At 35.0% G+C, this 22,763-nt stretch overlaps 1 protein-coding gene across 5 annotated transcripts in view; it reads right to left on the minus strand.

Moving 5' to 3' along the window:
- The window catches only part of RNGTT (RNA guanylyltransferase and 5'-phosphatase), a 353,722-nt gene that overhangs the window by 149,015 nt on the left and 181,944 nt on the right, over window positions 1-22,763 (minus strand). For all 5 annotated transcript variants that reach the window (NM_001286428.2, NM_001286426.2, NM_003800.5 and 2 more), the window contains one exon: window positions 10,863-10,963. In NM_001286428.2, coding sequence (NP_001273357.1) covers window positions 10,863-10,963 — 101 coding nt within the window. The remainder of the gene's footprint in view (window positions 1-10,862; window positions 10,964-22,763) is intronic.

The raw sequence follows: 22,763 nt of genomic DNA on the forward strand, positions 1-22,763 counted from the left end.
GTACATGTGCACAATGTGCAGGTTTGTTACATATGTATACATGTGCCATGTTGGTGTGCTTCACCCATTAACTCCATTGATTATTCTCACTAGAGCTGATCTTTACTATGGTGGTGGCAAAATAATTTTCCAAATCCAGGACTCAGAACATTTACCAATCAGCATTCTGCTAAAAGCTAAACCATCTCTTCTGCTCATTTATTACCAGTATGGCAGTATGGACTCATAGATTCCTATTTTTAGCAAAGTTCATAATTCATTACTGTCCTTCTGGTGTCCACACTATATCCCAGATCTGGCCAGTGGGAGCACCTTCAAGTTGGCTCCTGCATCCTTTCGACATACATTGTTTTTGTTGGGTTGGGGATGTACTTTCTTACTTTCTGGCATAAGAAGGTATTCTATGCCTATCCTGCATCCTCCCTACCCGGCTCTAGAATAAGACATTTCTCTGAAGATCTCTGGTTCTTTTTGGTGAGGAATGGTGTTAGACACCAAAATCTTCGTGCTGGATATGCTTATTATTACCAGGGTGCCTCTGCTTATAGGTCCTGTCAGTGGACAGAGCTAGGAAATGAGTTTATGTGTATCACATATTACATACACAAACACAATCATGTATATGTATTCATATACATGCACATACATGTGAACATATATATTCAAATATTTTAAAAATTCTAATCCATCTCACAGAGTTCTTCACTGCCTTCCTCCATTTCATATTTGTATCTTTCTCCTTCCTCACTGAGAACCCTGACTCCCAACATCAGTACCCATTTGCTCAATCCTACAACACTTCTAAAGTAGTTTGGCGTTTCACAACCATAATTACAGCAAAAAACAAACCTAATAAAAAAGGAGTTCAAGATTTGTTTGCAGTTCTTCCCATCTCATCTCTCATGAGGGTCTGCATTCAAATCCTATGTTCCTAAGTTACTTCATTTTCCCCCCCACCAACTTCAATGTGATTCAAAGTAGGAATTTAACTAATATTTAATCTATATAATATCCACCAGGTAACAAGCTTTTTATAACATAAAAGGTAACTTAGAGAAATTGCAATTAATGAAAATATATATTAATTGAGAAAAATCACATAAGCGAAAGGTACTAATGTAAAGAATAGTGTTAAAATGAATATGAAAATTAAATTCCAAAGAATCAAATTATAAAACAAAGGTGATATATACTTCTATTTAGTAAATTAACAAGTAAAAATAAGTAATTTGACTCCAGTGAGGTCATAAGTAGATGTTTTAAAGCCACATGCTCCTTTTCTCCTACTAGTTACTTGTAGACACTTTGATTATGATGTTGGTTTTTGGTAAGCGGCCTGGGAAAGATTTTCTGCTGAATGCAGGAAGGATGAAATAACAGAGGAAACAAGAGTTACTAATACCCAAGAGATAACCAGGCAAAGGAACTGAAAAGAGTTCAGTCACAGCTCCTCCTTGCCTCTCCTAGGCACACTGGAAGTAAAACATAATCAAGAATGTTAACAGTAGTAACCATTCAAAGACTGAAAGCCAACGAAGCATTTGTCTTAAAATATGTTTGGGTGATGAGAATATTTTCAAATAAGAAAGCAGTTACTATGGGTCATTTGCTAAATAATAAAAATAGCTATATTATACATAAAAAAATACAACCAGCTACATACCAAATAGCTTAGTCATTAAGCATACTATAATAATAGTGATTACATTAGTGTTTTATGTCTATTTCTTTAAAATAATTTTTAAATAAAATATAAATGAAAGAATTAAACATTTCATTTTGTGAAAGAGGCAGAGGGTAGAAAACAGAAAAATGCTGCTCAGCAAAGTAGTAAGACTTTTTCCCCCATACTTAATCCTTCCTTATATAAGAACAGTTCTTCAACATTCAGAAAAATATTTTACCACCACAATTTCCTTCTCAAAAAGAGTAACACTAATTCAAATAAGCATGAGAAAACGATTTTTTTTTTTTTTTCCCAGAGATGAGATCTTGCTGTATTGCACAGGCTGGATTCAAACTCCTAGGGCTCAAGCAATCCTCCTGCCTCAGCTTCCAAACCCAGCTCATTCTATTTTTTTTTTTAATGAATTGAAGCAAAAGAAATACACACACACACACACACACACACACACACACACATACACTCTAGTCAGCAGAGTAAAAAGACTTTTCCGATAGGAAGTAAAGGAGACCATGCAGTCAATTCTATATATTCCATTCTGCTTGCTAGGAAGCTAGCATTTCTCAGTTTTAAATGTGCAGACCTTACCTGGTTAACAAACCAGAACCTTCTGGCCAGGCATGTTGGCTCACACCTGTAATCCCAGCACTTTGGGAGGCCGAGGCACGTGGATCACTTGAGGTCAGGAGTTTGCGACCAGCCTGGCCAACACTGTGAAACCCCACCCCTATTAAAATTATAAAAAATCAGCCCAGCATGGTGGCAGGCACCTGTAATCCCAGCTACTCTGGAGGCTGAAGCAGGAGAATCGCTTGAACCCGGGAGGTGGACGGTACAGTGAGCTGAGATTGCACCACTGCACTCCAGCCTGGGCAACAGAGTAAGTCTCTATCTCAAAACAAACAAACAACAACAAAAATACCTAAGCCTCCCAATACAAGTGGGAGGCCAGATCCCCTTAAAGAAGGTATTGCAATACTACTACAACCATGTACAGTACTGTAAATCCACAGTTGGCAAACTATAGTCTACAGGCCACATCTGGCCTCACACCTGTTTTTGTAAATAAAGTTTCACTGTGACACAGTCATGCTCACTCATACACATATTGTCTAGCTTTGATTTAGCACCACAATGGTAGACTTGAGTAGTTGAGATACATAGGCAACAAACCCTAAAATATTGACTATCTGGCCTTTCATAGAAAAAAAGTGCTGACCCTTGCTGTAAATCTTCCAACAGTTTTTCAAAGGATGAGCAGCATTTGCTAAAGTGATTGTTCTGGTAATCCCCGATGGGTAATCCCCTAGTGGTCGTGTCTGTTTAAAGTAAGTGTCTGGTAACCCCCTAGTGGTACGGATGTTCTTTCTTTCAAAAGAAAAATCTAATAAAAAAATTATAATCCAAAAGAAAGAACACCCAGACCACTAGGGGATTACCAGACACTTACTTTAAACAGACACGAATTGCCAGGAACCCAAAATGCCACTGCAGTCCGTAAGTTAAATGGAGAGCTTAGGGTAATCAGGTGATAAATGGATTACTGGCTCAAGTTTAAATCTAAGTGTGACGGTATGTCCACAAATACAACCTGCGGTTATTTTCCAGTTACTGGATGTATAACTGGAAGAGAAATACTTGGAAAACGAATTTCCACATTGGCTGTCTGACCCACGGAATAAGGGTCATTATGCTAGGAAAGGCCAAATAAAAGCCCCTTCAACCAGCCTTCCCTACCAGGGAAATAAACCAAAAGCAGTAACATATCTCCAAGGGAAATACAAAAATTAGTACCACCATCAGAGATTTAGAATGATTTTTGATTATCATAAATTTAATCATGTTAAACCAAGTGCAGCTGCCATTTCAGATGTGCTGTCTTTAACGAAACCAATCAATGTAGCCTCTAAAATCTTATATACAAGTTGGCAAATACTTTTTTCTCTGTACCAATCTGTGGTACTATCAGAAGACATCTGCCTTTGCCTAGAATGACCAATAGTATATCTTGCAGCCACAGCATACTGCTTTTCTGCTCTCTGCCACAGTAGAATCTACAGAGACAGTGGTCTTTTTAAAAAATAGTAAATATATATTTAGTATTTATTATGTAACATGCAGTAGTTTAAAGGACTTACATGTATTATGTCATTAAAGTCCCACACGAGGTAGGCACTATTATCCACATAATGAAGTTACAGAAACACAAGCAACAGAGAGAGAACCTGAGTAAAGAGTGGCAGAGCTTGAATTGAAATCCAGCTGGCATAATATCCAGAGTCTCTTTGCTTAAGAGGATCCACTACAGTCGTCTAAATGAAAGGTATTTTCTTTTTCCTTTTTTTTAAGGAAGGGTCTCACTCTGTCACTCAGGCTGGAGTGCAGTGGCCCCACCACAGCTCACTGTAGCCCCAACCTCCCCAGGCTCAGGTGTTCCTCCCACCTTAGCCTCCAAGTAGCTGGGACTACAGGCATGTGCCATCATGGCCAGCTTTTTTTTTTTTTTTTTTTTTTTTTTGTATTTCTTGTTAGAAATGGGGTTTCACCAGGTTGCCCAGGCTGGTCTCAAACTCCTGGACTCAAGCACTATGCCCACCTCAGACATCTCAAAGTGCTGGGACTACAGGAGTGAGGCACTGTGCCTGGTGGAAGAGTTATTTTGTTTGCGTATTTATCCATGTGTCAGTTGATAAATATTTGGGGTTGTTTCCACCCTTTGGCTATTATGAATAATGCTGATAAGAAGATTTACGTACAAGTTTTGTGTGGGCATATGTTTTCATTTCTCTTGGGTATATACTTGAGAGTGGAATTGCTGAGTCACATGGTAAGTCTATCTTAAACATTTTGAGGAACTATGTAACTGTTTGCCACACTGGCTGCACCAACTTACAATCTCAACATCCATGTGTAAGGACTCCAATTTCTGTCTCTCACTTGTTATCGTCTTTCTAATTTTTTTCAGAGACAGTGGTCACTCTGACACTACACAGAACAAATCACTGATCAACAATGCTGATGATTTTGTACTTATTAAGAGTGATAAAGAGGAAGTATAAAGTTCTTTAGACATCTTGCTAAGACACATGTAAGACAGAAGACATAAAACCCACAAAAATTAAGAGCCCATTGCCTAAGTAAGATTTCTAGGGGTCCAATGGTTGGAAGCCTATCAGGATAGCTTCTCCAAGGTGTCAGAGACAAGTTACTCTACTTGCACTATCAGTGGATACTAAAAAGGACGTTACAAAGATTAACAATCACTGTGGATTTTGAAGCAGTACTCCAACTCATTGACCAAGGAACCTGTTAGGCTACCATTTTTAAGTTGAAATCAGAACAAAAGATGGCTCTGCAGCAAGTTCATGCTATAGTATAAGCTGCTCTGCCACTTGGGCCTTATAACCCAGTATATCAATTGTCTGGAGCCTCTGAATCCTTCCTCCAAGATCTTGTGGCAAGAATGACAGCTGGGCAGCAACTGGCTTCTTATGAACCCTATAAGGCCTCCTCCAATCTTCTAAATTTTAATAATCTACCCTCATTTCTTCATTACCCCAGTTCGCTGCATGGTAGACGCTTCCTGCAGTGCTTGCTTCCTCTGCAAGACTTTTTCATCTCTTCAGTTCTTTCGTAACAGACAATTCTTCAACTAAATTCATTCTGTTAAAATATTTGCTGTGTTTCTGTTTTTAATTAAATCCAAACTGGTATGTCTATTAACATCACACAACTATGTGTGAATGTAAAATCAAACAACAAATGTAGATGCTAGGTCTGAGTTCAACCTCAAAGCTCTAGGAAATCTTGTATCTCAACAGACTAGACCAATTTCTAAAAGATACTATTAGAGATTTTTAGAATACTATTAGCAACTTTCCTGGAAACACATACAGGAAGACACATGTATACAACTATATTTTACAAAAGACTTTTACAGTGAAAAAGACATTGAATATTTCCAGTTTCTCACTATTGTAATGATGCTTCAATAAAATTATTATACACATACTTTTACATATTCTTATTTGTTTGTATATACATTCCATCACTGAATATTTCTGGAGTGCCTACTATAAACAAGTCACCATGCTATGTACTAAGAATACAACTATGTAGAAGACAAACAACATCTCTCCTTTCACAAAATTGGAGCATATTTTCTCAGGACATATACTACCTTAATGCCCATTGAAAGAGTTGTACCAACTTCTGTTCCTACCAAACAGTTTAGGAGAGTACCTATTTGCTCACATTCTAACCAAAAGGGACAATGTTATTATTTCCAATGTGATAGGTAAAAAATTACATTTTGGGCCAGGTGCGGTGGCTCACACCTGTAATCCCAGCACTTTGGGAGGCCAAGGCAGGTGGATCATCAGGTCAGGAGATCGAGACCATCCTGGCTAACACGGTGAAACCCCGTCTCTACTAAAAATACAAAAAATTAGCCGGGCATGGTGGCAGGCGCCTGTAGTCAAAGCTACTAGGGAGGCTGAGGCAGGAGAATGGCCTGAACCCAGGAGGCAGAGCTTGCAGTGAGCTGAGATCCCACCACTGCACTCCAGCCTGGGAGACAGAGTGAGACTCCATCTCAAAAAAAAAAAAAAAAAATTACATTTCATTCTTGTTTTAGAATGTATATTTTTTATTAGAAGGACAAAAATTTTTATATTTTCACAGCAAAGTGAGGCTTCTTCATTCAGGGCACTTTTTTTCCACTTGATAATACAGAGTTATGTTTTTAATCCATGACTTAACCATACATTCTGCTGAGGTTCAATTAATAATTATAACCATTTTTTAAAGCAAACATTTATTTATTGAGTTTTATGCTGAATTTACATGCATCATTTATTTAATCCCCACAAAACCTGATAAAGTAGTATTATTTTTTCATCTTAGCCCATTAGCTTGTAAATTCTATAAAGGCAGACTTATATTTACTTTGTTTACCCATGCAATTAAATATTGAGTATACATAAATCTTCAGCACAACAAATCTACAAAATAAACATTATTCCTGTGGACATTTTACAGATGAGGAAGGTTAGGTAGGTTAAGTTAACAAGACCACACAGCAAATAAGTAGTGGAACTTGGATTTGGTTCTGGGCAAACTTGGCCAATAACCTATGTTCTTAACCACTATATGCTATATATACCAGTATATATACTGTCAAGGTTATTTTAAGAGACTTGTTACAAAAACCTCTATAATGAAAAGTTACTGACTTTGCTGTGCTCTTGCTCTCCAGGTGTTTAACAGTTATGACAAATTACACAAAAAAGCTAAAGATATATGCATTTTAAAAGAGAAAATTAACAGAGATTGGAATCAAATAGGAAATGATTCACACAGAAAGTTGGACTTAGTGCAGCAAGTAACAGGTAGTATTGCAGAGGCAGCAAGAAGGGAAGATGCACTTTTAAATTTGTTTTGATTAAAACAATAAAAATAATGGCAAATATTTAAACGTTTACCATGTACCAGGTTCTGTTCTAAACATTTTACATACATTAGCTTATTTAATCCTTACAGACGTCTTATGAGGCCAACTTATTTTATTGATGAAGAACTTGACACACAGAAAAAAGTAATGTGCTCAATCACACAGACAGTAAGGAGATAACCTAGGCAGTCCAGCTTTAAAACCTGAACTCTAAAATACTATTCTATACAAATAATAAGTTTATACCAATCACTATATATCACTGACATTGTACTCAAGAGTTTGCAATTTCCAGAGTACAGACTACTTTTGTAATTCTAGCTTTTGACAATGACCATGGTTTTAGGTCACAAGTTAGTTAATATAAAGCCATCATGTTTTTAAAACAACAAATAGCTCTCAGATGAAAATCTATATTGTGTATAAAACTCAACACAATATAAATTGCTAAGATATACAAAAGTTATATTAGGCCATGATAAATCAATGTTAATATATCTCAAATTTTCAGAAATGATAATAGGAGATAAGAAGAGCAAAGTATGGATTTTAATTGCCATCAACAGGGCACTCAACACATAGAACAGATTTTTCTATTTGTATTAAATTTCAATCTAACAGAAATCTATACTATTAGCACCTCATTAAAGTCAAACTCAAAAACATACCTAGAATGCCTAAGTCTTCATTTCTTAGAAAACTACTGCAGTCATTTTCAAAGACTATTATTTATATTATACCTTCAAGATATTCTATTCCATTTTAGGCTTTGTAGAAATATTTGGAAGTACAATCAAAGATATGAGCTTCTCTCATGGTGTTTTAACAGCTTAGTCCCACTTCACTAGTGCATGCTTAATGATTCAGAGACATAGCTACTCCCCTTTCGAACTAGTATAGACATATTTCTTACAGTGTTCTCTAAAATACTGAGTTAATGCTAAGCATTAGATATAAACTCATTTATTCAGTAAAGACTGCTATAATGCACAACATTCTTTACATTTAGAAAAAGCATATTACTCTGGCTAACCGAATATGTTTTATGTAATAGTTACCATGTTATATTTCATATTAAATATTCTATTTTTGAAAATTGACTCCCATTACACAAATAATGTACATACACTGATGTAAATTGCATATTCCTATCTGAAAATCACCTTAGAGAAACATTTGGATGAGTTTTAAAGATGCACTAGACTCAAAAGTAATTCCATTTTTTAGGAAGAAGACATTAAATAGGTAAAATTTTAAAAGAACAAAATATATTTAAAACGTACTATGAATAAAGGCAAAACTAGGATGACAAACTACTAAACTGAATTACATCATGCTATGTTTAATTACAATAGGAAACTGCAAGAAAAAATAACATTTTTTACTACTAGAGAAATGAGTATTCTATGTTTAGCCTCAGGAAGCCTTTAAGTGCCACTAAGAACTGACTGTAAAAGGCAAAAGTAAGTTGTTTTTAAAAAACCCAATGAAACAATCCGAGAGTCTATACTCTTTAACCAAATACAAATATAGCATTAAGAAAAATAGAAGATTTAGTAATGAAGCAGTTTAACAAAATTTTACTTCATCTTTGAAGTCTTATTTTTCGAAGAACTATATTCACTTGTGTCAAAAAAAAAAAAAAAAAAAAAAAAAACAGCGTAGCCCCACTAGAATTAGTTTCTTAGCCTCAATTTTTCTAATAGTGAGATGGTCTTCTGTAAGGCACTTCCAGAAGAACATATCAAACCTACACCCAACTTGCATGATTAGTGATAAACAATCCCACATTTGACTGGCAACTGAGAAAATCTGTACACTGGGCACTTTGTCAGGAAGACTAATCTTGAATGTTCAACATATCAATATTTATCCAATGTTTAGATAAGAGAAAGACATTTTTGAAACTATCCTGAAAGTCATTCCTGTGTGTGTATTCCAGCTATTCCTATAGCCTCAAATTTATCTATCCTTGGATTATAATCAGACTCATATAGAGCTCAATATATTCTTGGGGGTTCCAGATAATTGTTCTAACAACTTTTTGCCATTAAGTCCCAATTGTAAATTAAGCCACAAACATTTAGGGATAGTGTGTGTGTGTGTGTGTGTGTTTCTTTTTCTTTCTTTTTTTTTTGAGACAGAGACTTGCTCTGGGCTCAAGCAATCCTGCCACCTCAGCCTCCCAAGTAGCTGGAACCACAGGCATGCACCACCATACCCGGCTAATTTTTGTTTGTTTTAGAAACAGGGCCTCCTTATTTTGCCCAGACTGGTCTCAAATTCCTGGCCTCAAGTGATCCTCCCACCTTGGCCTCCCAAAGTGCTGGAATTACAGGCATGAGCCACTGCACCCAGCCTCAAATAAAATGTTAAATACCCTGTTGTTTGAAAACGAATACCCACATGCTTTATTAAACCCACCTTTTCACTTAAGATTCACCACAATGCACAGTTTCCTTTCTTTGATAATGCATAGTTTCTTAATATATTTTAATCTTTTGGAGTCTGGACTCCATATATCCCCTGTTCCATCAGCTAGCAAAAATGCTATCTGTGCTTTACCTTTGATAAGTAAAAATTTCACAGGATGCACTGGTAAGCTTTAATCTCTTTGCTAGTATTATCTTATTTACTTTCTCTTTCTGATTTCCTTGATTAAGGATTTCTTATTTTGTTGTAATGTATTTACTTAGCCAAGATACTTAAAAAGTTATAGAACAAAAGTGAAATAAAAACAAGGCTTTGGAAAAATGTTGAAAATATTCATGCTAAAGCATCTTTTATTCTAAGATAGCAACCAAAAAGTCATAAAAGGAAGATTAACCAATAAATTTAAAAATTAACACTTAATAGACATTATAAAAAATCTTAATGAAAGTCAACAGTTAACTTACCCTACAAAAGTATAGAAAATATTTGCTCTGCAAATGCAAACATGAAGTAATTTCCTTCAAAGTAAAAAAGACTTATTTCGATATGCTTAATTATAATACCAATGATCATATCTTATATCTAGATCTATAATTCATATAAGAGAATTATTTTTCAGTAAAATCTCAAAATTTAGTAAAATTTTCACTTTACAATTTAACAAAGTTCTTTTCTTTGGGGGGAGGTGTGCGGCGGGGGAAGTGGTCTCACTCTGTCACCCAGGCTGGAGTGCAGCAGGGTGCAGTCTCAGCTCACTGCTACCTCTGCCTCCCAGGCTCAAACAATCCTCCCACCTCAGCCTCCCGAGTAGCTGGGACCACAGGTATGTGCCAACAAGCCCAACTAATTTTTCTATTTTTGGTAGAGGGGGGTTTCGTCATGTTGCCCAGGCTACTCTCAAACTCCTGTGCTCAAGCAATCTGCCTATCTTGGCCTCCCAAAGTGCTAGGATTACAGGCATGAGCCACCACGCCCAGCCAAAATTCGTTTTTTAATATTATTATTACCTTTTATATTGTTGTTATTAATATAATTATATTAATGAAAATGATTTTAAAACAAAGATCAGTAAACTTTAAAGGAAACTGCTATATGTTAGCTGACACAGGTCAAAGGAGTAATCTCTGAAAACGAAATTGTTGTATAAGTATATATGTAAAATATCTTGTAAAATAAAGTATTTTAGTTTCTTTCTTTAAAGTATTGTAAAGTATATATGAAATACCCTGTAAAAGGTGAAGCCTTACACAAACAGTATTATTTCATGCAAAAAGTACAAAAGTGCATACTTACCCTTCTCCTCCCATTCTTGTTATTTTTAGACGAAAATCCACAGAATTCAGACTGGGAGGCTTCCATTTCAAAATATCATCACATCGACCAGGTTTGTATTTCTAAAGCCAATTAAAATGATGACAATCGTTACTAAGAAGTTAAAAATTAAACATTCAATGTATTAAACCTAATGTAACTTTTTATTAAGCAAAATTACTTCTTTTCTAAACATAATTTTAATCTTCAACCAACAAGTCAGGCTAGATATCTACCTTCTTATTGATGACCTTTCTTCTTTTCCTACCAAAGACATGTAGACCCTTGTTTGTGAAAGTCCAGAAAAAGAATAAAACCAGTGATTCTATCCAACCTTCCTATGACTTAAAAGAAGCTTCATTTTTAAAAATGCTTTTTTTTCTTGTTCAGCTTTATGGAGGGATAATTTATAATGAATAAAATTAACCAACAAATCTTGACAAATATATACAGTTACGTAACCATGACCAAAATCATGATATTGAACATTTCAAGGATGTGAAAAAATTTCTTGCTACCATTTGCAGTCAATTCCCTCCGTCAGCATTCTGGCAACAGTGATCTGCTTTCTACGACTACAGTTGTACCTTTTCTAGCTACATAAGAAATACTTTAAAAATAAAAAATAAAGAAACACTTTATGTAAGATTTTTGAGATGAATCTATCCTGGTGCATATACTAGTAGTATGTTCCTTTTCATTGCTGACTAGGATTCCATTGTATGTATATACCACAAATTGTTTACACATTTACAAGGTGATGGATATCTGGGTTGTTTCCAGTTTTTGGCTATCATGAATGATGCTGCTCTGAACATTTGTATTGACATGTTTTCCTAACTCTTGGGTAAATAACTAGGAGAGTGGAATGACTGTATCACATGGCAAATGCATGTTTAGCTTTGTAAGAACTGTCAAACTGTAACATTTTCTATTCCTACCAGAAATGAATGAGAAGTCCATTTGCTCCATATCCGCCTTGGACTAGGCATTGTCAGTCTTCTTAATTTAGCCTTTCTAAAGTGTGTGTCTCATCATTTTAATTGGCATTTCTCTAATGACACAAAGATGGTGAAGATCTTTTCTTTTGTTTATTGCTATCTGTATACCTTCTTTGGTGAAGTGTCTGTTCAAATCTTTTACTCTTGTTTGCACTGAGCTGTTTGACTCATTACTGCCTTGTAAGAAGTTACTTACATATTGTAAATAAATAGTCTTGGTTGGATATATGTATTACAAATATTTTCTACAAGTCTTTGGCTTTTTCATTTTCTAAATAATTTCTTTTGAAGACCAAAGTTCTTTATTTTAGTAATGTCAAAATTATCCATTTAAAAATTATATAATTTGTGCTTTTTGTGACCTATTTAAGGAATATTTTCCTAAAGTCATTACAATTTTCTACTATGTTTTCTTAGACAAGTTTTATGGTTTCAGCTGTTATTTTTAGGTATACAAACTACTTCAGCTTATTAATTTCTATGGTATGAAGCACAGGACTGTATGTATGTATGTGTGTGTGTGTATATATATATATATATATATATATATATATATATACACACACACACACACACACAATTTCTTTTCTCACTAATCTGTTGCATTAACATATATGTCTTTCTTCCTGCTAATAGAATAGTCTCAATTACTATAACTTTATACATTTTGAAAACAGGCTGTGTAAGTCCTCAGACTTTTATTCTCCTTTTTCAAAACACTTTTAGCTAATGTAGCATTTACATTTCCACATACATTTTAAAATCAGCTTGCCAATTTCTATGAAAAATAAGCCTGCTGAGATTTTAATGAGGATTACACTGAATCAATCAATAGGTTAGGGAAGAAATGACATCTTAACCAAATTGAATTTTCTGATTCATAAACACTGTAAATCTCTCCATTTACTCATCCTTAAATGAATCTTAACAATGTTCTGTAGTATTCAGTATAGAGATCTTGCATGGCTTTTGTTAAATGTATTCCTAATAATTTACTATTTTTGGTGAAATTATCAACGCAAAAATTCAGTTTTGCTTCTATACACCAGCAATAAAAATCAAAAGAAAAAAAAGGAAAGGACATTTTTAAAAACTTACAGTAGGGTTAGGCACGGTGGCTCACGCCTGTAATTCCAGCACTTTGGGAGGTAGAGGTGTGAGGACAGCTTGAGCCCAGGAGTTCGAGATCAGCCTGGGCAAGAAAGCAAGACCTTATCTCTACAAAAAAATTTAATAATTAGCCAAATATAGTGGCACATGCCTGTAGTCCCGGCTCCTTAGGAGACTGAGGTGGGAGGATTGCTTGAGCCTGGGAGGTCAAGGCTATAGTGAGCCATGATCATACCACTGCACTCCAGCCTGAGCAACAGAGTGAAACTCTGTCTCAAAAAAAAAAAATGTGCAATAGCATCTAGAGGAACAAAATATGTAGGAATTAATTTAACCAAGGTGAATCATCTGTATACTGAACACTGATTTCTTTAAAAAAAAAAAAAGATGGAAAGACATCATATGTTCATGGATAGGAAGACTCAATGTGTTAAGATGTCAATACTCCCAGAACAATCTACAGATTCAGTGCAATCTCTAAGAAAATTCCAACAGCGTTTTCCACAGAAATGAAAATGTGCTCTTCAAATTCAAGTAAAATTTCAACAGACCTAAAGAGTCAAACAAATGGGATCTAATTAAACTAAAGAGCTTCTGCACAGCAAAAGAAACTACCATCAGAGTGAACAGGCAACCTACAAAATGGGAGAAAATTTTCGCAACCTATTCATCTGACAAAGGGCTAATATCCAGAATCTACAATGAACTCAAACAAATTTACAAGAAAAAAAAAGACCCCATCAAAAAGTGGCCGAAGGACATGAACAGACACTTCTCAAAAGAAGATATTTATGCAGCCAAAAAACACATGAAAAAATGCTCACCATCACTGGCCATCAGAGAAATGCAAATCAAAACCACAATGAGATATCATCTCACACCAGTTAGAATGGCAATCATTAAAAAGTCAGGAAACAACAGGTGCTGGAGAGGATGTGGAAAAATAGGAACACTTTTACACTGTTGGTGGGACTGTAAACTAGTTCAACCATTGTGGAAGTCAGTGTGGTGATTCTTCAGGGATCTAGAACTAGAAATACCATTTGACCCAGCCATCCCATTACTGGGTATATACCCAAAGGACTATAAATCATGCTGCTATAAAGACACATGCACACGTATGTTTATTGCGGCATTATTCACAATAGCAAAGACTTGGAACCAACCCAAATGTCCAACAATGATAGACTGGATTAAGAAAATGTGGCACATATACACCATGGAATACTATGCAGCCATAAAAAATGATGAGTTCATGCCCTTTGTAGGGACATGGATGAAATTGGAAATCATCATTCTCAGTAAACTATCGCAAGAACAAAAAAACAAACACCGCATATTCTCACTCATAGGTGGGAATTGAACAATGAGAACACATGGACACAGGAAGGGGAACATCACACTCTGGGGACTGTTGTGGGGTGGGGGGAGGGGGGAGGGATAGCATCGGGAGATATACCTAATGCTAGATGACGAGTTAGTGGGTGCAGCGCACCAGCATGGCACATGTATACATATGTAACTAACCTGCACATTGTGCACATGTACCCTAAAACTTAAAGTATAATAATAATAAATAAATAAAAAATTATTGGTAAAAAAAAAAAAATCTTGAAAAAAGAAAAGAATTGAAAGAGTCACACTTTTTACTTTTCAAAACTTACTACAAAGCTACAGTAATCAAAACAGGTGGTACTAGCATAAAGATAGACAAAAACACCAACAGAATAGAATTAAGAGTACATAAATAAAGTCATAAATCTATAGCAAATTGATTTCTTTTCCACAAGGATGCCAAGCCCATTCAATGAGGGAAAGAATACTCTCTTTAAGAAAGAGAGGTGGGACAGCTGGTTTTCCACATGTAAAACTATGAAATTGAATGCCTACCTCATACCATATACAAAGATTAACAAAAAATGAATAAACAACCTGTAACATGTAAAACCACAGAAGTCTTAGAAGAAAACATAAGGCTCTGCGATCTTAGATTTGGCAGTAGATTTTTAGTTTTGACACCAAAAGCATAAGCAACAAAAGAAAAACTACATAGTTTGGGCTTAATCAAAATTAAAAACCTTTGTGCATGACAGAACATTATCAAGAAAGTGAAAAGACAACCTACAGAATGGGAGAAAATGTTTGCAAATTATACATCTGATATAAACCTGGATATGTATCTATTTATATCCAGAATATATTGTTAAAATGGATACAACTTAACAACAAAAAAACCCAAATTTAAAAGTCAAAAGACTTGAATAAACATTTCTCCAAGGAAGATATACAAATGGCCAATAAGCACATGAAAAGATGTTCACTATCATTAATCATTAAACAAATGCAATCAAAATCAAATGGAGATACCACTTCATACTAACTAGGGTGACTATAATTTAGAAAAAAAAACACAGAAACTAACAAGTGTTGGTGAGAATGTGGATAAATCAGAACATGCACATTGCTGATAGAAATGTGAAATGGTGCAGCCACTATAGATAAAAGGTTAACAGTACCTCAAAAAGCCAAACACAGAATTACCACATGACCCGGAAGGTCCATTTCTAGGTACACACTCCAAAAACCTGAAAACAGCTACTCAAACAGACACTTGTATGTCAATGTTCATTGAAGCATTCTTCACAAAAATTAAAAGGTAAAGACAATACAAGTCTCCATCAACAGGTGAGTAGATAAACAAAAGGTTGTATATACATATATTATCCAAATATAAAAAGGAATGAAGTTTTGATACGTGCTGCCAAACGGATGAACCTCAAAAGCATTATGCTAAGCGAAATAAGCCAGACACAAAAGGAAAATATTGTATGATTCCACTTACATGAAATATTTAAAATAGAAAAAAATCATGGTGACCGAAAGTAGATTAGAGGTCACCCAGGGCTACAGTATGGAAGAAAATGGAAGTTACTGCTTAGTGGTTAAATGATTTCTGTTTGGGATGATGAAAAGGTTTTGGAAATAGACAGTGGAGGTGGTTGTACAACACTGTCCATGTAATTAGAGATTATAAAAATTATTTTAATAAACAAAAGCTTTGTAAATAATTGTGTTCTTAAGCATTATAACTTCCTAATGTATATAATATGTAAATATAAATAAATCACACTAATCAATATATTTGTATATTCACTTTATAGGTATCCTAATTGGAATGCATTTACTCAACAGAATGAAAAATTAATTGAAATTTTTTGATATGTAAAGTATATAACATTATAACACAATGTTTGATATACACAGTGAAATGATTACTATGGTAAAGCAAATTAACATTATCCATCTCCTCACAGTTACCTTGTATGTGTGTACATGTGTGTCAAGAACATCTGAAATCTACTCTCTTGGCAAACTTCCAGTATATAAAACAATATTATTAAGTACAGTCATTGTGCTGTACATTAGACCTCCAGATTTATTCAGCCTACGTAACTGCAAATTTGTGCTCTTTAACCTACATCTCCCCAACTCCCCCATCCTCAGCACTGATAACCTTCTTCCTAGTCCTGAACAGTAGCTTCTAGTTTCAACAAAACAAATCCCTTTGAATACCCACAACTGAGAGGGGGGATAAAAAGCATGCTCTCCCTCTGACCTGAGCTTGCTAATTTTTTTATATTTCTAACCACAGAAGACGGTACAGTTAGAACTGACAGAGTAATTTATATCTGTTTCAATTATAATAAGGAGGTACAGAATTAGTTTATCACCTATAATCAAAAGTTGTTATTAATGAGTTACCAACTGGGTTTGTTTCTCCCCCATTTAAAAGAGCTTATTAACCAAGTAGCTTCATAATAGGTGTTTTTTGCATTCTGTTTCTGTGTACTCAACTTTTTGAGATTCCACATGTAAGTGAAATCACACACCATTTCTCTTTCTGTGTCTGGCTGATCTTGCTTAGTACAATGCCCTCCAGCTCCATCCATGTTGTTATAAATGACAGGATCTTTTTTTCTAAGCCTGAATAATATTCTGTTGCATAAATATACCATAATTTCTTAATTCATTGACCCACTGAAGGACATTTAGGTGGTTTCCATATGCAGGCTGTTGGAAATAATGCTGTAATGAACATGGGGGCATACATTTCTCTATGAGGTACTAATTTCATTTCTTTTGGTATATACTCAGAGGAACTGCTGAGTCATATATTAGTTTTGTTTTTAATCGTTTGAGGAGCCTCCATACTGTTTTCCATAATGGTTGTACCAATTTACATTCCTACCAACAGTGGGACACCCTTACTCTCCACACCTTCACCAACTATTTTGTATGTTATCTTGTATTTTCGATAATAGCCATCTTAATATGCATGAGGTAATATCTCAATGACGTTTTAATTTTCATTTCTCTGTGACTGGTGATGTTGAGCACCTTTTCATACACCTTTTGACCTTTTTTTTTTTTTTTGAGACGGAGTTTCCCTCTCGTTGCCCAGGCTGGAGTGCAGTGGCGCAATCTCAGCTCACCGCAACCTCCGCCTCCCAGGTTCAAGTGATTCTCCTGCCTCAGCCTCCCAAGTAGCTGAGATTACAGGCATGTGCCAGCAGGCCCAGCTAATTTTGCATTTTTTTTTCTTCTTTTTTTTAGTAGAGATGGGGTTTCTCCATGTTGTTCAGGCTGGTCTCAAACTCCTGACCTCAGGTGATCTACCCACCTTGGCCTCCCAAAGTGTTGAGATTACAGGCATGAGCCACCATGCCCAGCCACCTGTTGACCACTTTCATGGCTTCTTTGGAAAAAAAAAAAAAAAAGTCTATTCAAGTCCTTGGATTATTTGTTTTTGTTTTGTTTTTTGCTACTGAGTTGTGAATTCCTTTAATATTATAGATATCCCCTTATCAGATATGTGCTTTGCAAATATTTTCTCCCAATCTGCCTTTTCATTTTGTTGATTGTTTCCTGTTGTGCAGAAGCTTTTTAGTTTCATGTAGTCCCAGTTGTGTATTATTGCTGTTGTTGGCTGAGCTTTTGATGTAACATCAAAAAGATCATTGCCAAGACCAACATCAAGGAGCTTTTCCACTATGTTTTCTTCTAGGAGTTTTACAGTTTCAAGTGTTACAGTTAGGCATTTGATCTATTTTAAGTGGATTTTTGTGTATGGTATAAGGGTCCAATTTCATTCTTTTGTATATGGATATTCAAGCTTCCCCAACATCATTTACTGAAAAGATTATCTTCTCCCCATTGTGTATTCTTGGTGCCCATGTCAAAAATTTGAACATACATGCTTGGGTTTATTTCTGGGCCCTCTATTCTGGTCCACTGGTCTATGTGTATGTTTCTATTTCAGTACTACACCATTTTAATTACTGGAGCTTAGTAATATAACTTGAAACCAGGAAGTGTGATGCTTCCAACTTTGTTCTTCTTTCTCAAAATTGCTTTGGCTTTTTCAGGGTTTTTAGTCCCCTACAAATTTTAGAATTGTTTTTCTCTAGTTCTGTAAAAAATGTCATTGGTATTTGGATAGGGATTGCACCAAATCTGTGTATCACTTTGGGTAGTATGGACATCTTAACAATGTAAATCTTCCAATTCATTAACATGGAATATCTTTCTATTTATGTGTATCATCTTCAATTTCTTCCATCTTGGTTAAATTTATTCCTAGGTATTTTATTCTTTTTGATGCTATTGTAAATGAGATTGTTTTCTTCATTCTCTTTTCAGATAGGCTGTTATCGATTGGTGTAAAGAAATGTAACTGATTTCTGTATGTTAACTTTGCATCCCACAACTTTATTGAATTAACAGGTTTTTTTGATGTAACAGTCTTTTTCTACATATAGGATCATGTCATCTGCAAACAGAGATAATTCTACTACTTGTTTTCCATTTTAGATGCCTGTTGTTTCTTTTTCTTGTCTGATTGCTCTTACTAGTAGCTCCAGTATTATGTTGAATAGAAGCACCAAGATGGGGAATCCTTGCCTTGTACCGGATTTTACAGGAAAAGCTTTTAGTTCTTCCCCATTAATTGTGATGCTAGCTGTGGCCTTTTCATAAATGGCCTTTGTGTTGAGAAAATTTTCTTCTATACCTATTTTATTGGAAGTTTTTGTCCCAAAAGATGTTGAACTTTGCCAAATGCTTTGTATGAATCTGTGGAGATGATCATGTGGTTTTAGCTTTTATTCTGTTACTGTGGTATATCATATTGATTGATCTGCATATGTTTATACCAACCTTGTAACCCAGGGATAAATCTCACTTGGGGATTTTAAATGTATTCTGAGTACAAAGTAAAAAAAGAAAAGGTATTACCTGAGTGTCTTAAAATTGATTATAGAGGAATGAACATTGTAAGCCTTGAAGGATGGGTAATATTCACTCATGCAGATTTGCAGCATGAAGTAAATATGGGCAAAAAAACAGGAGTAGAGAAATATAGGATGTGCTAAAGGAGAGGCAAGTCTCCCAATTCAGTGTGTGCATTATGGAGGGTGGGGCCATATTATAAGAAAAATACTTAGGAAGGAAAAATTGCTAAGTGTCCAATACTAGTATTTTTAAATTATCCAAGTCAAATTGCATTCTAACAAATTTTTAATTTAATTTTTAAAATTAGATATGGAGTCTTGCTATCTTGCCCAAGCTAGAATGCAGTGGCTATTCACAGGTGCAGTCACAGCACTGCAGCCTTGAACTCCTGAGTTTAAGCAATTCTCCCACCACAGCCTCCTGAGTAGCTGAGACGAAGGGTGCAATCCATTGCACCCAGCTCAAACAGATTTTTATAAATTATTTAAAACTGCAAAAATCATAATCACAGGATTGCTTACTTCAAACGGAAGTCCATACAATGACGATTCAATATAATTTAAGTTTTGCTAAGAAAGAAAAAATCATTGGAATTGATAGGAAACACCTTTTAACTGTGCCACGTGTAAGAAAATAATGCACATTATTTTCCCTCAAGTTTTGTATTGAAGCATGAGTAAGTATAAAATCAAATATATAATTTTTCAGTGGAAATTTTCTTCCATATATTTGCCCTGAGAGATTTATTTAGGTAACATACATGCTTCAGGATAATCACAAATAAATCTCTTTAGAAAGTTTTTTTGGAATGTTGAAACTGCAACATTTTCCCATTGTCAACCCATTAGTGAAGAGAATCTGATAAAATATAGTCATTTTCCTAGTAAAGCTTATTTGACAGAAAAGTCACAGGCCTTTAAGTAACAGTGGCTCATTACAGTAGTAAAGGGTCAAAAAAAGTAAGGGGAGAAAGGAGTGTCAGCAAGAGAGAATAGGCCCAAGAAAAAGAGTAAGTTTGTGTAGCTTGAAACACACTATGCACATCCCACCGCATTTGCAACCTCTGCCAAGGAAATTTCATACTTACAGGCAAATCATCCTTTAGTTCCGTTTCCTACTTGTTTATAGTAAGTGACTACAAGAACACTTAGAAACCAATATCAATCTAAGTTATTAAATCTAGAAAAGTTGAATGATGGTATAGTTTTAAAATATCTCCTAATAGGTACCTAATGATAAATTCTAAAAAGCTTTAATATGTAATTTTATTTATATAACAGATATTAAATATCATTCACATTCTCTTGCCTGGAAATCAAGACTCAATTTTGTCTAATAAGAAAACAACATGTATCAACTCTTCTGTTTTTACACAGCAATAATTCAGAAACTTAAGTAACTCCTCATCTCATTGCACATCAAATCATTCATATTAATTTGGAATACTAGACTTGATATTATTAGGAATTTCAAAGCACCTTTATGAAAATTAATGATTATAAAATTTTAGAAAATGGGGCCAGGTGCAGTGGCTCACGTCTGTAATCCCAGCACTTTGAGAAGCCAAGGCGGGCAGATCACCTGAGGTCAGGAGTTCAAGACCAGCCTGGCCAACATGATGAAACACCATCTCTACTAAAAATGCAAAAATTAGCTAGGCATGGTGGTGCATGTTTGTAGTCCCAGCCACCTGGGGGGGCCAAGGCAGGAAAATTGCTTGAACCTGAAAGGCAGAGGTTGCAGTGAGTCAAGATCACACCACTGCACGCCAGCCTGGGCAATAGGGTGAGACTCTGTCTCAAATAAATAAATTAATTAATTAATCTAGAAAATGGTATTTTAAGAATACTGTAGCTCCCAGTTATTGAATGTAGATTCAACAATGACACAGATTCTATGAGTAAAATATATTGAAATACCCATTAGAATGTAATTCTACTTCAGAAAAAATCACATCAATTTTGTGCCTACAAAACACCTAGTAAAATGCTCAAATACTTTAATAAAATAATTAAAAATACAGAATTTCAAAACTTACTACAAAAATATCTGTCTCAGGTACACTTAATTTAAAAATGAAATATCTGAGATTATGAAATAAGCTAACAATATTTATGAAAGATTATATAAATCACTACCAAATAATCCCTTTTTCATGATCCCCAAAATAATAAGAGCAAATATATTACAAATACAGAAACTGAATAAGCCTTTTAGAAATAAATATTTATGATTTATCAAACTTGAAATACAGAATCTTGCTGAACTATAAACAAGGATATAAAAACACCATTCTACATGTTCTCGTGTATAGTCAGAGTAATATAATTCAATTTACCAGCATGTATCTAGGTTAAAATAATTATCAGAGCTATAGTTAACTGATAAATACAATACTTAGTTTATAGAAATAAATCTGATTGTATGAGGTGAGCTGTCAAAAAAAAACTGGGGATATGTTAGGTGTAAACGTAATTACCAATATAACCCAAGATATCCATTGCCATTGTAAAGTCAAAAACATAATAAATGTAAACGTCAGGCAGCAAAATAAGATGCTTAAGAAAGTGTTGACCAGATGAGAACAGAACCTGGCTTAGAGGTAGAAGATGGCCATATGCCAAAGAGAAGTCTGTAAAACTAAGGTGGACAGGAAGCTAACTGGAGGTATACATGATATATATTTGTGGTGTAAAGCACTGGTTCTCAACTAGGGGAGATTTTGCCTCCAAGGGATATTTGGCAATGCGTGGAGACATTTTTGGTTGAACAAGAGGTGGGGAGGGGGTGCTACTGCCATCTAGTGGTTAAAGGCTAGATATGCTACTAAACATCCTACAAAGCACAGGGCAGCTGCCCACAACAAAGAATTCTAGCCCAAAATGTCAATGGTGCCAAGGCTGAGAAAACCTGATGTAAATGAAGCTAGCATTAGTAACGGCAAAGGAGCAACGTATTTAGTCCCTCTTTGCCTCTACTAACGTAATTATTTTAAGCAAGTTCAAAGTGGGCTTTATCTATCTCATTTGTAAAAATGCAATAATAGCATTTTGCTTGCCTAAAACAGGATATCTAGACCAGAGATATCTAAAAACACCTTGCAGGCTTATGTTATTCTATTATTTCCACTAGTAAAATGTGAGTAGTTATCACCAGGTTCTACAGTAAAACCTGAGACATAATGCCTTCTTCACAAAGATCACATCTGAAGCTAAGAAAGATCCCTGTCCTTACTATAATATTAGTTTTATTACAGCATTTATTTTTAAAGAAAACTTTAGAAATCCTAGACAGTAATGCTACTAGAGACAGTAAAACAATGGAATCAATTATGAACGCACATTCTTCAAGAATCTATTATTTGTCTTTTCACTGTTACACATTATACAGCATCCACTCCTCTAAGACTCCAAATACACTTACAATGAAAATTACTCCCAAATCTTCATCTTTTGTCCTAACTTTCTCCCAAATAAAAGTA

Source organism: Homo sapiens, chromosome 6 (assembly GCF_000001405.40).
Source record: "Homo sapiens chromosome 6, GRCh38.p14 Primary Assembly".
Lineage (NCBI taxonomy): Eukaryota > Metazoa > Chordata > Mammalia > Primates > Hominidae > Homo > Homo sapiens.